This window comes from Homo sapiens, chromosome 14 (assembly GCF_000001405.40).
Source record: "Homo sapiens chromosome 14, GRCh38.p14 Primary Assembly".
Taxonomy (NCBI): Eukaryota; Metazoa; Chordata; class Mammalia; order Primates; family Hominidae; genus Homo; species Homo sapiens.
Genome location: NC_000014.9, coordinates 63,541,978 through 63,556,579, shown reverse-complemented (window position 1 = coordinate 63,556,579; position 14,602 = coordinate 63,541,978). Strand labels below are relative to the sequence as shown.

General features: G+C 46.0%; 1 protein-coding gene and 1 long non-coding RNA gene across 7 annotated transcripts in view, besides 5 other annotated features; one reads left to right on the top strand and one right to left on the bottom strand.

Moving 5' to 3' along the window:
• Positions 11,721-11,800: an enhancer, noted in NCBI's record as "active region_8510". NCBI's record gives its function as "activates an Ori minimal core promoter by ATAC-STARR-seq in GM12878 lymphoblastoid cells {active_cell/tissue: GM12878}" and the evidence as "EXISTENCE:reporter gene assay evidence [ECO:0000049][PMID:35858748]".
• On the bottom strand, positions 11,916-13,796 carry LOC112268140 (loricrin-like). The gene has a single exon (NR_158218.1). It is a non-coding gene; the product is annotated as a loricrin-like (long non-coding RNA).
• Positions 12,160-13,151: an enhancer, noted in NCBI's record as "H3K27ac hESC enhancer chr14:64010147-64011138 (GRCh37/hg19 assembly coordinates)". NCBI's record gives its function as "activates a minimal SCP1, AML or CMV promoter by ChIP-STARR-seq in naive H9 embryonic stem cells {active_cell/tissue: H9 hESC(naive)}" and the evidence as "EXISTENCE:reporter gene assay evidence [ECO:0000049][PMID:30033119]".
• Positions 12,888-13,097: an enhancer, noted in NCBI's record as "active region_8509". NCBI's record gives its function as "activates an Ori minimal core promoter by ATAC-STARR-seq in GM12878 lymphoblastoid cells {active_cell/tissue: GM12878}" and the evidence as "EXISTENCE:reporter gene assay evidence [ECO:0000049][PMID:35858748]".
• Positions 13,203-14,602, top strand: part of PPP2R5E (protein phosphatase 2 regulatory subunit B'epsilon) — a 172,014-nt gene continuing 170,614 nt past the window's right edge. For all 6 annotated transcript variants that reach the window (NR_104104.3, XM_047431543.1, NM_001282179.3 and 3 more), the window contains exon 1: positions 13,203-13,801. The gene's annotated coding sequence lies outside the window, so the exon portion shown is untranslated. The remainder of the gene's footprint in view (positions 13,802-14,602) is intronic.
• Positions 13,388-13,527: a silencer, noted in NCBI's record as "silent region_5828". NCBI's record gives its function as "represses an Ori minimal core promoter by ATAC-STARR-seq in GM12878 lymphoblastoid cells {active_cell/tissue: GM12878}" and the evidence as "EXISTENCE:reporter gene assay evidence [ECO:0000049][PMID:35858748]".
• Positions 13,568-13,707: a silencer, noted in NCBI's record as "silent region_5827". NCBI's record gives its function as "represses an Ori minimal core promoter by ATAC-STARR-seq in GM12878 lymphoblastoid cells {active_cell/tissue: GM12878}" and the evidence as "EXISTENCE:reporter gene assay evidence [ECO:0000049][PMID:35858748]".

Below are 14,602 nucleotides of genomic sequence, written 5' to 3'. Positions count from 1 at the left end.
AACAATTTTTCTGCCTCAGCCTCCCTAGTAGCTGGGATTACAGGATTACAGGTGTGTGCCACCACACTGGCTGATTTTTTGTATTTTTAGTAGAGACAGGGTTTCACCATGTTGGCCAGACTGGTCTCAAACTCCTAATCTCAAGGGATCCACCCGCCTCAGCCTCCCAAAGTGCTGGAATTACAGGCACGAGCCACCGTGCCCGGCCTCTCATAGTAAACAATACTTTAAACAAACAAAAGGAGGCCAAGTGTGCCAGGCCAGGCCTGAAGGAGAATTCTGAGTATAACCAGTATCACCGCCTCTGTTTCTCTTTTTATTTTTTCCATTTTTTCCTCCTGATCATAAGATATTGCAACAAACTCTGGGCTTTCATAGTAATTAGTCCTTGTTCATAACATCTTGTAGTAGAGTAGAGTGATAGTATTTTTTTTTTTTTTTGAGATGGAGTCTCGCTCTGTTGCCCAGACTAGAGTGCAGTGTCACCATCTCAGCTCACTGCAACCTCCACCTCCTGGGTTCAAGCAATTCTTTGCCTCAGCCTCCTGAGTAGCTGGGATTACAGGTGCCTACCACCATGCCCGGCTAATTTTTTTTTGTATTTTTAGTAGAGATGGGGTTTCACCATCTTGGCTAGGCTGGTCTTGAACTCCTGACCTCGTGATCCACCTACCTCTGCCTCCCAAAGTGCTGGGATTACAGGTATGAGCCACCGCGCCCAACCAAGTGATACTATTTATGTCTTTTTCATATTTGAGTTGCCCCAGAGTGCCAAGTAGGTACTTAAACGTATGGAATGTTATGTATGAGGGAATGATTAAATACAATAATGAAAGTTTGGTTAGGAAACTTCTATATGACGTGTATGAAAGGCTTATGGAAATGTACTGATCATCATGAGATGATGAATTCTCTTGAAGTTGAGCGTTTGCGACAGTTTGCCAATGAAGGCAGTGACTTTTAGCTAATTATAACTTGTTTCATTTTAGGGGTCAAGACAGCTGTGATTATATACTTTGAATTAGTCTCTTTCAATACTTTTTTTTTTTTCAAAAATACTTTTTCATAAATACCCTGTTCCATTTGCCAATTGGCTTGTTAACTGGGTCATCGACCTTCCAAATCAGAATATATGCTTCCTTGACTTAGAAATGCCATCAAACGGAACATTTTCAAGTACTGGAGATGACTACTGCCTCTATCCTTGTTTTCAAAGCTCTTTAAACCGAAGTTTCCTACAACATTTTCTGTTCATTAAGAAGAAAGTTGTTCTAATGCTAGGCCATGTTAAAAAGATAAAACTTAAGATACAAAAAAAGAAGCTTGATTTGGATTCACACTGAAATTTACCTCTACCTGCAAAGTGTGCTTCTCTCCAAAGACAGAATAGGGTTTCTTTATGTTTTTTTAAAAAGACTTAAATATCAAAGGAAATGAGCTGGAAAGGCATTATGTTTTCTAGATACTCTACACAGCACTATATATAGACCAGAATGTGTCGAACACGGGTCCCCAACCCTGGGCCACGGACCGGTATCAGTCCATGGCCTGTTAGGAACTGGGCTGGACAGCAGGAGGTGAGTGGCAGGCAAGGCAGTATTACTGCCTGAGCTCGGCCTCCTGTCAGATCAGCTGTGGCATTAGATTCTCATAGGAGCGCAAACTCTACCGTGAACTGTGCAAGCAAGGGATCTGGGTTGCGTGCTCCTTACGAGGAGAATCTAATGCCTGATGATCTGAGGTGGAACAGTTTCATCCCGAAACCACCCACTCAAGTCCCCACACCCCAGTCAGTGGAAAAATTGTCTCCCACAAAACCAGTCCCTGGTGCCAGAAAGGTTGTGGACTGCTGGTATAGAGGATTTCTATGGGGAAAAGGTAGTAAACTAAGTTTAGAATTTCAGCACCTTTCTTCTAGTCAGAATTCCTATCCAAGCTCTGCCACTTACTAGATGTATAACCTTGGAAAAGAAACTTAAGCTTTCTAGTCAGATGTGGTGGCACCTGCCTGTAGTTCCAACTACTTGGGAGGCTAAGTGGGGGATTGCTTGAGCCCAGGAGTTTGAGGTTACAGTGAGCTATGATTGAATCACTGCACTCCAGCCTGGGTGACAGAGACTCTGTCTCTAAAAATAATAATAAAGGCCGGGTGTGGTGGCTCACGCCTGTAATCTCAGCACTTTGGGAGGCTGAGGTGGGTGGATCACGAGGTCAGGAGATCTAGACCATCCTGGCTAACATGGTGAAACCCCGTCTCTACTAAAAATACAAAAAAATTAGCTGGGCGTGGTGGCGGGCACCTGTAGTCCCAGCTACTTGGGAGGCTGACTGAGGCAGGAGAATGGCGTGAACCCGGGAGGTGGAGCTTGCAGTGAGCTGAGATTGCGCCACTGCACTCCAGCCTGGGGGACAGAGCGAGACTCCTTCTCAAAAATAAATAAATAAAATAAATAAATAAAATAAAATAAAAATAAAATAAAGAAACTTAAGCTTTCTGTATCTTAGTTTCTGCATCTAAAAAAGTGGAATAATAGTGCCTACATCAATAGGTTATTTTGAGGATTAAACAAGATACTATGGCCAGGCTCGGTGGCTCACGCCTGTAATCCCAGTACTTTGGGAGGCCGAGGCAGACAGATCACCTGAGGTCAGGAGTTCGAGATCAGCCTAGCCAACATGGCGAAACCCTGTCTCTACTAAAAATACAAAAATTAGCTGGGCGTGGTGGTGGGCGCCTGTAATCCCAGCTACTCAGGAGGCTGAGGCAGGAGAATCGCTTGAACCCGGGAGATGGAGGTTGCAGTGGGCCGAGATCGTGCCACTGCACTCAAGCCTGGGTGACAGAGTAAGACTCTATCTCAAAAAAACAAAAAAACAAAAAAACCCCACACCAAACAAAACAAACGAAACAAAAACCAAGATAATACAAGTAAAGTGTCTGCCACAGTTCCTAGCTCATAGTGTTCAATGAATGGGAGTTATGGTGATGGAAGACTTGGACCATTGTTTCTACTTTCTTTACTTTATGATCTCATAAAAGGTCACAGTTAACCTCTGTATCTTATTAGTCTTTCCTTTGTAAGATGAAGAAAATAGTAGCCATATATTCAATTACTTGGATATATTAGTAGCAAATGACTTAAACACAGTGATAACTTGGTATATAGCGTGAAAAGACCTGGCTCTTGGACAAACAGGATTCAAATTGTGGTTCCACTCATTACTAGCTGTCTGACATTGGGCAACCTCCTTGATCCTCAGTTTTCTTATTTTTGAAATGAAAATAATATGTATCTACAGAGTTAAGGCTCAAATTAAATACTGCATATGAAAATGCACTAAATTGCTATGCACATGCTTGCAGTTATTTTTACCAATACCATATGAGATTTTTACAAGTACCATACTATGCATTGTCCTTATTGGTTTATTTTGTTTCAATAACAGTGTGCTCAGATTTCAGTTTTCACCCTCTTTTGGTTGTCTTGCCCCTTAGAATGTGTTAGGTCTGATTCGTACTATGTTCATAGATTTTACCCAATTTTATTGATAGCTCAAAAACAATGTTCTCTCTCTATGATCGATAAGAAGCCTAGATGTAACACTCAACCATAGGTTGCATTTTCTAAAATATGGCCTTGGTGTATTAAGAGACTCAGTAAAAATAAACTATTGAAAAGCAGCATACAGTTTGCTAAATAAGGCTTATTTTCATGTTTAGTAGGTCATTACACTATTCTTTCCTTGTGTTCTAGAAGGACTTAACTCTATATGCATAATTCCTTTTTAATTTTTTTTTCCTGAGCTCCCTGTCACTTAGAAAATGCGTAGGTTTTTTTTTTTTGTTTGTTTGTTTGTTTTTTTCAGATGCAGTCTTGTTCTGTTACCCAGGCTGGAGTGCAGTGGCGCCATCTCGGCTCACTGCAACTTCTGCCTCCTGGGTTCAAGTGACCTTTCCACTTCAGCCTCCCGAGTTGCTGGGATTTCAGGTGTGCACTACCATGCCAGGCTAATTTTTTTGTATTTTTAATAGAGAGGGAGTTTCATCATGTTGGACAAGCTGGTCTTGAACTCCTGACCTCAAGCCATCTGCCTGCCTCAGCCTCCCAAAGTGCTGGGATTATGAGTATCAGCCACCACGTCCGGCCAAAAATGCATAATTCTTAAGAATATCTTCTTTGAGTCTAAACTTTTAAGAAAAACAGAAATCAGCCGGGTGTGGTGGCTCATACCTGTAATCCCAGCACTTTGGGAAGCCGAGGTGGGTGGGTCATGAGTTCAGGAGTTCAAAATCAGCCTGACCAATATGGTGAAACCTCTCTCTACTAAAAAATACAAAAATTAGCCAGGCTTGGTGACGCATGCCTATAATCCCAGCTACTCAGGAGGCTGAGGCAGGAGAATTGCTTGAACCCAGGAGGTGGAGGTTGCAGTGAGCTGAGATCACGCCACCGCACTCCAGCCTGGGTGACAGAACGAGGCTCCGTCTCAAAAACAAACAAACAAACAACAACAAAAAAACCCAGAAATAAATTACACTTGATCAATTACATTAGGAAAGAACTCCTGGCAGGGTCACTTTAAATTATTTCCTTTCATGCTTAAGATTCATAAACGTTTCACTTAGTTCTCAACATTTAGAAAACCTCAGTTTCAGGGTCTAAAAAGTAAACTGAAGCTTGAAGAGGTTAAGTGAATTGCCTGTCAGGATTCTTTTGGGTGTCCATTGTAGAAATCAAACTCCACAGTGGCTTAAACAAAAAAGGGAATTTACTGGCTCATATAACTGAAACTAGCTTAGGTAAAGCTGAATCCAGCAGTTCCAACAAGGCTGATGGAACTTGGAATTTGCCAAAGTCTCTTCTAAAGGATTGGCTTCCTCTAGGATGAAGGAAGGAAAAGGGAGACAGTTATAAGCAGCTCTAATTTATATCATTTCATGGTTTCTGATCCAAGAGGAAGAGAGGCATCCCTCCTCCAGCATTCAAAAAGCAAATCTTGGGGAAGACCCAGTTGAGTCATGTACCCATCTCTCTGGGGGAGGAGGGAGGGAAGAGGGAAGCACCATGAGTAACAGTCCCATCAGAATCACATAAAGTGAGGGAGGGTGTGGGCCTCAAAGGAAAAGAAGGGGACGGTTGGGAGGCACGTATTCAAAACACCAAGGCCAGACCACTATTAAACGCAGGGCTAGGATTAGAAACTGGAATCTCAGTCCTGGTGCAGTTTTAGAGGTTAAAATGAGGATGAGAAATAGATAAGCCCAGAGCAAAAATACTTTGAGCCTCTTTTATTTTTTGTGTGTTTGTTTTTTCAGATGGAGTCTCACTCTGTCGCCCAAGCTGGAGTGCAGTGGCGTGATCTCGGCTCATTGCAACTTCCACCTCCCAGGTTCAAGCAATTCTCCTGCCTCAGCCTCCAGAGTAGCCAGGTTTACAGGTGTGTGCCACCATGCCCAGCTAATTTTTGTTTTTTTTTTTTTTGTTGTTGTTGTTTGTTTTTTTGAGATGGAGTCTCACTCTGTAGCCCAGGCTGGAGTGCAGTGGCGCGATCTCGGCTCACTGCAAGCTCCGCCTCCCGGGTTCACGCCATTCTCCCACCTCAGCCTCCTGAGTAGCTGGGACTACAGGCGCCCGCCACCACGCCTGGCTAATTTTTTTTTTTTTTTTTTTGTATTTTTAATAGAGATGGAGTTTCACTGTGTTAGCCAGGATGGTCTCAATCCCCTGACCTCATGATCCGCCCGCCTCAGCCTCCCAAAGTGCTGGGATTACAAGCGGGAGCCACTGCGCCCGGCCTAATTTTTGTATTTTTTAGTAGAGACAGGGTTTCGCTATGCTGGCCAGGCTGGTCTTGAACTCCTGGCCTCAAGTGATCTGCCCACCTTGGCCTCCCAAAGTGCTGGGATTACAGGCATGAGCCACTGTGTCTGGCCACCTCTTTTTTTTGTTGTTGTTGTTGTTATTTTTTTTAGAGACAGGGTCTAATTCTTTTGCCCGGGCTAGAGTGCAATGGCATGATCATAGCTTACTGCAGCCTCAAACTCCTGGGCTCAAGCGCTCCTCCCATTTTAGCCACCTGAGTAGCTAGGACACACAGGGCCACCTGAGTAGCTAGGACAACATTTGTGTACTACCAGACCTGACTAACTTTTAAATTCTTTTGTAGAGATAGGGGTCTTGCTATGTTGCCCAGGCTAGTCCTGACCTCCTGGGCTCAAGCCATCCTCCCTCCTTGGTCTCCCAAAGTGCTAGGATTACAGGTATGAGCCACTGTGCCCAGCCTGAGCCTCTTTTAAAAGAATATATATTAGAATGAAGGGCCGGGTGCGGTGGCTCACACCTGTAATCCCAGGACTTTGGGAGGCTGAGGCAGGCAGATCACTTGAGGTCAGGAGTTCAAGGCTGGCCTGGCCAAAATGGTGAAACCCTGACTCTACTAAAAATACAGAAATTAGCCAGGCGACGTGGCACGTGCCTGTAATCCCAGCTACTCAGGAGGCTGAGGCAGGAGAATCACTTGAACCCGGGAGGCAGAGGTTGCAGTGAGCTGAGACGGTGCCACTGTACTCCAGCCTGGGCAACAGAGTGAGACTCCATCTCAAAAAAGAAAAAAATTAGAATGAAGCTAAAGCTCTGAAATGAAGTCAAATAACCATTTTGTTCAGTTTTAGAGGTAAACGGATGTTCTAAAATGGAAATCCCTGCTATTGCTAATGAATGCTCCCACACACACATTGTCTAATTTAGTGTGGAAGTAGATTGAGAGGCATGCCTGTGATTTCCCTGCTCCTTGTTTTCTTCCTGTCACAGGGGGTATGCCAGAAGAAAATTTTGAGGGGGAAAAAAACACTCAACAGAAAACTTCCTAAAGTTTAGTTTTTAGATGGCTAAGGAATTTTTAAAATTATTTTTTACGTTTTTATTTATTTATTTATTTTTTTGAGACGGAGTCTCGCTCTGTCGCCCAGGCTGGAGTGCAGTGGCACGATCTCAGCTCACTGCAAGTTCCGCCTCCCGGGTTCATGCCATTCTCCTGCCTCAGCCTCCCGAGTAGCTGAGACTACAGGCGCCAATCACCACGCCCAGCTCGGCTAATTTTTTGTATATTTAGTAGAGACGGGGTTTCACCGTGTTAGCCAGGATGGTCTCAATCTCCTGACCTCGTGATCTGCCCGCCTTAGCCCCCCAAAGTGCTGGGATTACAGGCGTGAGCCACTGTGCCCGGCCTATTTATTTATTTTTTTTGAGACAGAGTCTTGCTCTGTCATCCAGGCTGGACTGGCACTATCTTGGCTCACTGCAACCTCCACCTCCCAGGTTCAAGCTATTCTCTGCCTCAGTCTCCCAAGTAGCTGGGACTAGAGGCATGCACCACCACACCCAGCTGATTTTTGTATTTTTTGTAGAGATGGGGTTTTGCCATGTTGGCCAGGCTGGTCTCGAACTCCTGGCTTCAGTGATCCACCCACCTCGGCCTTCCAAAGTGCTGGGATTACAGGTGTGAGCCACCACACCTGGCCAGATAAGGAGTATTAAAAATAAGAAAATAGACGACTGTGGTAATAAGTAGTATTTATCAAGCAGTTAATAGATGCAAAGCACTGTAGTAAATGCATAACATCATTTCAATTTGATGAGTATCCTGAGTTAGGAACTGTTAGTCTGCTTATTCACAGGTGAGGAAACCAAGGCTGGAGGAAGGGGTTAATAATCTGCCCTATCTCCTGACTGTCAGAGCTAAGATAAATTTGGATTTCAGAGTGGGTTCTCACCATCATGCTCATTATTAGGTATAGCTTTAAGCTCATTTAATTGTGTAATTTGACTATTTTACAAACAAAATTATTGCTTGTGGTACATTATTTTGTATTTTATCCTGTATGAAATAAAGGGCACTTAAAATTGGCTTTCTTGCCGGGTGCGGTGGCTCACGCCTGTAATCCCAGCACTCTGGGAGGCTGAGACGGGCGGATCACGAGGTCAGGAGATCGAGACCATCCTGGCTAACATGGTGAAACCCCATCTCTACCAAAAAATACAAAAAAAATTAGCCGGGCGTGGTGGTGGGTGCCTGTAGTCCCAGCTACTCAGGAGGCTGAGGCAGGAGAATGGCATGAACCCGGGAGGCGGAGCTTGCAGTGAGTGGAGATCGTGCCACTGCACTCCAGCCTGGGCGACAGAGCAAGACTCTGTCTCAAAAACAAAAAAAACAAACAAACAAAACTGGCTTTCTCTTCCTGTTTTTTTTCCAACTCTGCTTCCCTGTCCGTGATATAAGGTCTTTCTGTCTTGATCCATCAGTGACAGAGGGCTCTCACTAAGAACAGCGCAAGGGTCCTCTGATAGTCATCTCTGGAATGCAGCTTAAACTGCTAACTAGGGAACTGGAACACCTAAACACTTTAAATCTCAAGCAATAATTATACATATTAATCACACGGAAAGCTACGAATAAGCCACAATCTTTGAAGCACATCTGAAAATGTAACTAGAGTATTTAAACTGTGACCCAAGAAAATGTCACTGCTGAGGATGTTTCCTGGTGGATAAATGTTAACTCAGAGAAATATGACACCAAAATCCCTTGTCTGCAGTAGCCATGTGTATACTTTTTTCTTGTGTATACTCTTTTCTTTGAAAGGGCGTCTCGCTCTGTCACCCAGGATGGAGTACAGTGGCATGATCTCAGCTCACTGTAGCCTCCACTTCCCAGGTTCAAGTGATTATTGCCCCTCAGCCTCCTGAGTAGCTGGGACTACAGGTGCGAACCACCATGCCCGGCTAATTTTTGTATTTTTAGTAGAGACGGGGTTTCACCATGTTGGCCAGGCTGGCCGTGAACTCCTGTTCTCAAGTGATCTGCCTGCCTCGCCTCCCAGAAGTGTTGGGATTACAGGTGTGAACCACCGCACCTGCAGTGTATACTCTTTCTGTTTTCCTAAGAGGCAGCTACTGCCTCAGGCTTTCTCACCCTCACTGTTCTTTCCTCTCAGTCCACGACCAGCTTCATGTACCCCGCCACTCCACACACACCAAACTAGTCTACCTCTGATCATGATATCTAATCAGCATAGGTCTTTTCCTCCTCTACTGGTTGACAATTGTTCTGACGATGCTTCTACTTATTATTTTAGTTCTCCTTTAGTTCCCCAGCCAGCCATCATTTGATAGTCAATGTCTTGGTCTTATCACGTGGCTAGCTCACTAGTAGATTCATGATAAGCTCAGCTTTGATATCTGGGAAGTGAATGCTTTCATGTGAGAGCAATAGACTACATTTTGTCACTTGATAATGGCCTCTCAGATGGCTATAATGTTTTTCTTTTCATTTTTTTTTGTTTTTTGAGATGGAGTCTTGCTGTGTCACCCAGGCTGGAGTGCAGTGTTGGGATCTTGGCTCACTGCAACCTCCGCCTCCTGGGTTCAAGCAATTCTCCTGCCTCAGCCTCCTGAGTAGCTAGGATTATAGACAGCTGCTACCAAACCCAGCTAATTTTTGTATTTTAATAGAGACGGGGTTTCACCATATTGGCCAGGCTGGTCTCGAACTCCTGACCTTGTGATCCACCTGCCTCGGCCTCTCAAAAGTGCTGGGATTACAGGCGTGAGCCACTGTGCCCGGCCTAGAATGTTTTTATTCACAGGCTACATCATGTCACACTACAGAATCCAACTCCTGGGCTCAAGTGATGCTCCGACCTCAGCCTGTGGAGTAGTTGGGACTGCAGGCCTGTGACATTGTGCCTGGCTTCCAAACTTCTTTTTTTTGAGACAGGTTTTCACTTTCTCTCCCAGGCTGGAATGCAGTGGCATGATCATAGCTCACTGCAGCATTGACCACCTGGGCTCAGGTGATCTTCCCACCTCAGCCTCCCAGTAGCTGGGACAACAGGAGCGTGCCACCAGGCCTGGCTGATTTTGAAATTTTTTTCGTAGATAAGGGGTTTCACGATGTTGCCCAGTCTGGTTTCAAACACCTGGGCTAAAGTGATCCACCCTCCTCAGCCTCCCAAAGTGCTAGGATTACAGGCATTAGCTGTGACATCCAGCCAAAAAAATTCTTCCAAATATATGTGTATTTGTCCATAAAGTATAGACATACGCTACCATCATTAGCTTAACTCAATCAACATATACACTTAGAATGAAGTTCAATTCTTAATAACAGTGGATGTAGGCTGGGTGCAGTGGCTCACGCCTGTAATCCCAGCACTTTGGGGGGTCGAGTGGGGTGGATCATTTGAGGTCAGGAGTTCGAGACCAGCCTGGCCAACATGGTGAAACCCCGTCTCTACTTAAAATACAAAAATTAGCCAGGTGTACATGCCTGTAATCCCAGCTACTTGGGAGGCTGAGGCAGAAGGATTGCTTGAACCCGGGAGGTGAAGGTTGCAGTGAGTCGTTTGCGCCACTGTACTCCAGCCTGGGCGACAAAGCGAGACTCCATCTCAAACAACAACAACAACAACAACAACAACAACAACAACAACAACAACAACAACAGTGGATGTAAATTTACATTTCAAGTAGCCTTGATTTTTTTTCTAGTCAAAATTTGATTGAATTTATTAGATTGGTATTTTACTTTTGAAAAGTGGCTGTCAAAGATTTGATACTGGGCTGGGTGTGGTGGCTCATGCCTGTAATCCCAGCACTTTGGGAGACCGAGGCGGGTGGATCACAAGGTCAGGAGTTTGAGAACAGCCTGGCCAACATGGTGAAACCCCGTCTCTACTAAAAATACCAAAAAAAAAAAAAAAAAAAGAAAAAAAAGATTTGATACTGAAGAGTCAGTTCTAACATTTTCTTCTTGTTCTCCCGTGGTTTATTTGCAAAGGACTCATAGAGTCATTTGTCTGTTTTATGAGGGTTAGTTTAATTAAACTTAGATAATATAATCAGTAAGTCCACTTAGTTGAATCCAGAAACTGCAATAAGAAACCGCAATAAGTCATATGTTGTCAGGGGCTGATTGGGTGGGCCCACCACTGCCAACCCCTAGGAATGGGTAACTCCCACTTTTCCCTGAGGACATCTCCTATGCTGTTCTAGGCCAAGGCACCATTCCATGGACTGAGGGCAGAGCCATTCACTCTATATAAAATAGTAGTTGACCGTAATGCCTTTTAGATTAAAATTAAATGTAAATATATTTCCTAATACTTTCTTTTACTGCATCCGAAATAGATTGTCTTGCACTATTCTTGGAGTACCGAAATCCCTGGGATACATGGGAGAAATTACTGGTCCAGAGAACAATTTCTCACATAGGCAAGGATGTTTCCATTTTAAAAAACCTGCTCATTTCAGTTGCTCAGCCATTTTATAGAAAGTGAAATGACTTTGAAATGAATTGTCTTTATAGAGATCCATAATTTGCAAGCAAAATCCCCACTCTATGACATGTTCTAAGCAACAGCTGTGAGAATTTCAAACGTGCACTATGCTTTTAACAGTTCAACTGTTGCCAAGGGAAATTGAATTGGCTTCAAAATCTTCCTTGGTTTTAATTCTGAATTTACCCTCAATCAAAGATTGAAGAAAACAGGTCCTTGGCTGGGACACTGAACTTTCATGAAGACTGTACAGGATATTGAGATATGGAAAATTTAAGGTTCTTGAGGGTAGGAACTAGACTGCTGGTATTCTATAGTTCATACTTAGTGGTGATGAACTTTATCACGGCAAAAGTGGGCACTAGCCATACAGTGGCCAATCATCTGGAGTCAGTAGGGGGAGACTGCTTCCATCTAAGAGTCATCTTTTCGTTTTCCATTTCAGTTCAAAGCAGGAATATTTTTATCTTTCATGGCACAAAATTATTTTTCCACTCAAGAGCCATTTCTGGGAGTGTGCAAAGAAAATTTCAAAACTCTAGTGTTTAACAACACAAACAGGAGAAATGCAAATGCATTTTTCGTTGTCACTTGTACATATGGTACATATAGTTTTATTTATATATAGCTCTATTCCCTAACCGTATCGAAAAGATGATATAATGCTGAGGGAAAAAACTAGGCTACAGATCGACACACATTATTAACATAAAGAGAAAAAATACTAAAAGGAAGTATGCAAATACTGTAAGTGGTTATCTCTGAGTTGAGAAAATAAGAATGTTAATTTTTTTGTCCCCCCCCCCAATTTCTAAGTTTTGAACAACTGGTACTCTGACGTTTGTAGTTAGCATTAATAATTTCTTTCTTCCTTTTTTCCTCTCAAAAAATGTACGTAGGGTGCATTCAAATACATTAATCCAAGAATATTATCTGGAAATGTACCATTTGGCCGTCTGCATTCACCAAGCATGCAAACACATCTCCAAATATCTCATCACTTGTTCTAGATAGATTTAAGTAGTCTTCTCCATTAACTCTTTCGGGTCCAACTTGCCAATTAAAATCTCGAAACTCCTAGTTTGGAGCTGGGTCTTTCCGAGCTCTGAGCAGTCGGCTGACTGGCGGGTTATTCTGAATGAATAGACTGCAAACTGTGGCGACAGCGTTCCCACCTGCATTAATTAAACGAGCGCTGGCTTCAACGCTACAGGGGTCTGATATTCAAAACAGACGTTTAAGGAAAAGGAGATGAGGTGAGAGAAAATTCGAAGAAGGTTCAGCGGAGAGCGACTGCTGGGGGTTTCAAGGGGCCCATTTACACAAGCAGTGGCACACCGGCACGGGCGGGGGATCTTATTCCTGCCTACGCATCACAGGGTCCCGTCCAGAGTGGGACTCCCCAAACCCTGAGGGGCCACACTAGCTGCAGGGCGGGATCAAGTCTCCGGGGCTCCCCGACCCTTAGACGACCCGAGCCCTTGGAATCCTCCGGTCCAAGACGACCGCCGCCCAAAGGCTCCGCACAGCACGGAAAGCCAGCCCGCTGATCCGCTAGTCGCACACCTCCCGGAATTAAAGAGCTCCTCTCAGGCCCAGCGGCTTCTCACTTCAGCTTGCCCCACTGCCGGGCGGAAGCGGCGGCTGCACCGCCCGAGATCGCGGCTGCATCCGGGTTCCTCAAGCTTCGGCCCAATCCTCGACCTTCTCTCTTCCCACCCTCCCGTTTCTCCGCCCTCCTGCCGCCAATCCCTGATCAGGTCTCAGCCGAACATGCTGTCAGGGGAGTGAAGGCGGATACTGGCCAATGAGGCCTCGCTTCCCGTTTGAAGTCTCCAGTGGGCGGGCGCCGGAGGCGGGCGCTGCTGGCCAGAAGGTTCGGTTGCGCGTGTGCCATGGACTCAGCCGCCCGGTGATATTGACAATAGGAGAGAGAAAGGGGCATTGACTGGGACCCACCGCGGGTAGCGAAAGGTGGCTCTGGCAGCGGCGGCTCCAGCTCCTGCGGCTCCTCCTCCTTATTCTGTCCCCTTCTCTTGCTGCCGCTGCAGATCCAGTCTTCCTCCCTCCCTTCCCCCCCTCCCCACGTCGTCGCCGCCGCCGCCGGGTCCGGGGCAACGAGCTGAGGCGCCGCCCGCCAGGAATGTGAGCGAGGAGCCACCGGCGGAGCCGCAACGGGGTCGGTGCCGATTTGATGGGACGGGCCCGCGGGGGAGGATCGTGAGGCCGCCGCCGCCACCGGAACGCTGAGGTTCGGGTCCGGCCGTGAGGCCTAGAGGCTCCGCCGCCGCGGAACCGGAGGGACCCCGTACCGGACAGCCGTCGCCCCAGGCTCCCCGCAGCTGCCCGGACCTCCCCCTGCACGTCCCGGTCCCGCCGCCCGCCCCCGCTGCGGCCACCTCGCCCGTCTCCCGCCCCTCCAAGCCACAGATCATCTTTGGATTCTTCCCCAGAAGCTTCAAGGTAACTTAGTCCCTCCAGCACCGCGGCTCGCCCGCTTCCCTTCTTCCTCCCGGTCCTCCTGGGGAACCTATGGGGCACCGGCCTTGGGAAGGCCTGGCCGGGCAGGCGAGGGGTGCGGTGGGGTGGGGTGCGGGAGCGGGAGCGCCCGTCCCACTTGTCTGATTTACCTACAAATGCTTCTGATGATACCTCTCATTCACTCTGCCCCCTCCCCCCTTTTTCTCCACCTTCTGGGATTGGAGGCGTTTTCTTGCCCCCCTTTATCCACTGGCGGGGGCGGGGAATAAAGAGGGGTTTGGTGTGAGGAGGATTCTCTAGCAGCTTATCGTCTCCAGGGCTTGGGGTGTGGGTTAGGAGCAAAGGGAGTATGTAAGCATCCCCACAGACAAACCCCTTCCCTGTCTTTCCCTACTTCCCCTTACCCCCTTTGGATTATCCTGAGCCATGGAAATGCCCCATGCCTGCTGATTAGAGGATGATAAAGCTTCGGGAGCCCTGGCCCAGGGCGAAACCTGTTTCCCTGGGCTTTGCACGGACCCGCTGTTACCTTACGTTCAGTTTTGCAGTGCTTCAGGGTTGCGATCCTTGACGTTTATTCTGGGCCTCGGGCATAAGGGGTAAATGATTTTTTTAAAAGCTACCTATATATCGTCTGTAGAGATGAGAGATAAGGAATAAAGAAGAGACGAAAAGAGTGATGGAGGAAGAGGATTTACTGAAATGTTGTAGTGTTAGAGTTAGAGTGAAGTCTAAATAATTCACATACCCGAATGGAAAATCGGCCCCTAAATTTACAACGTA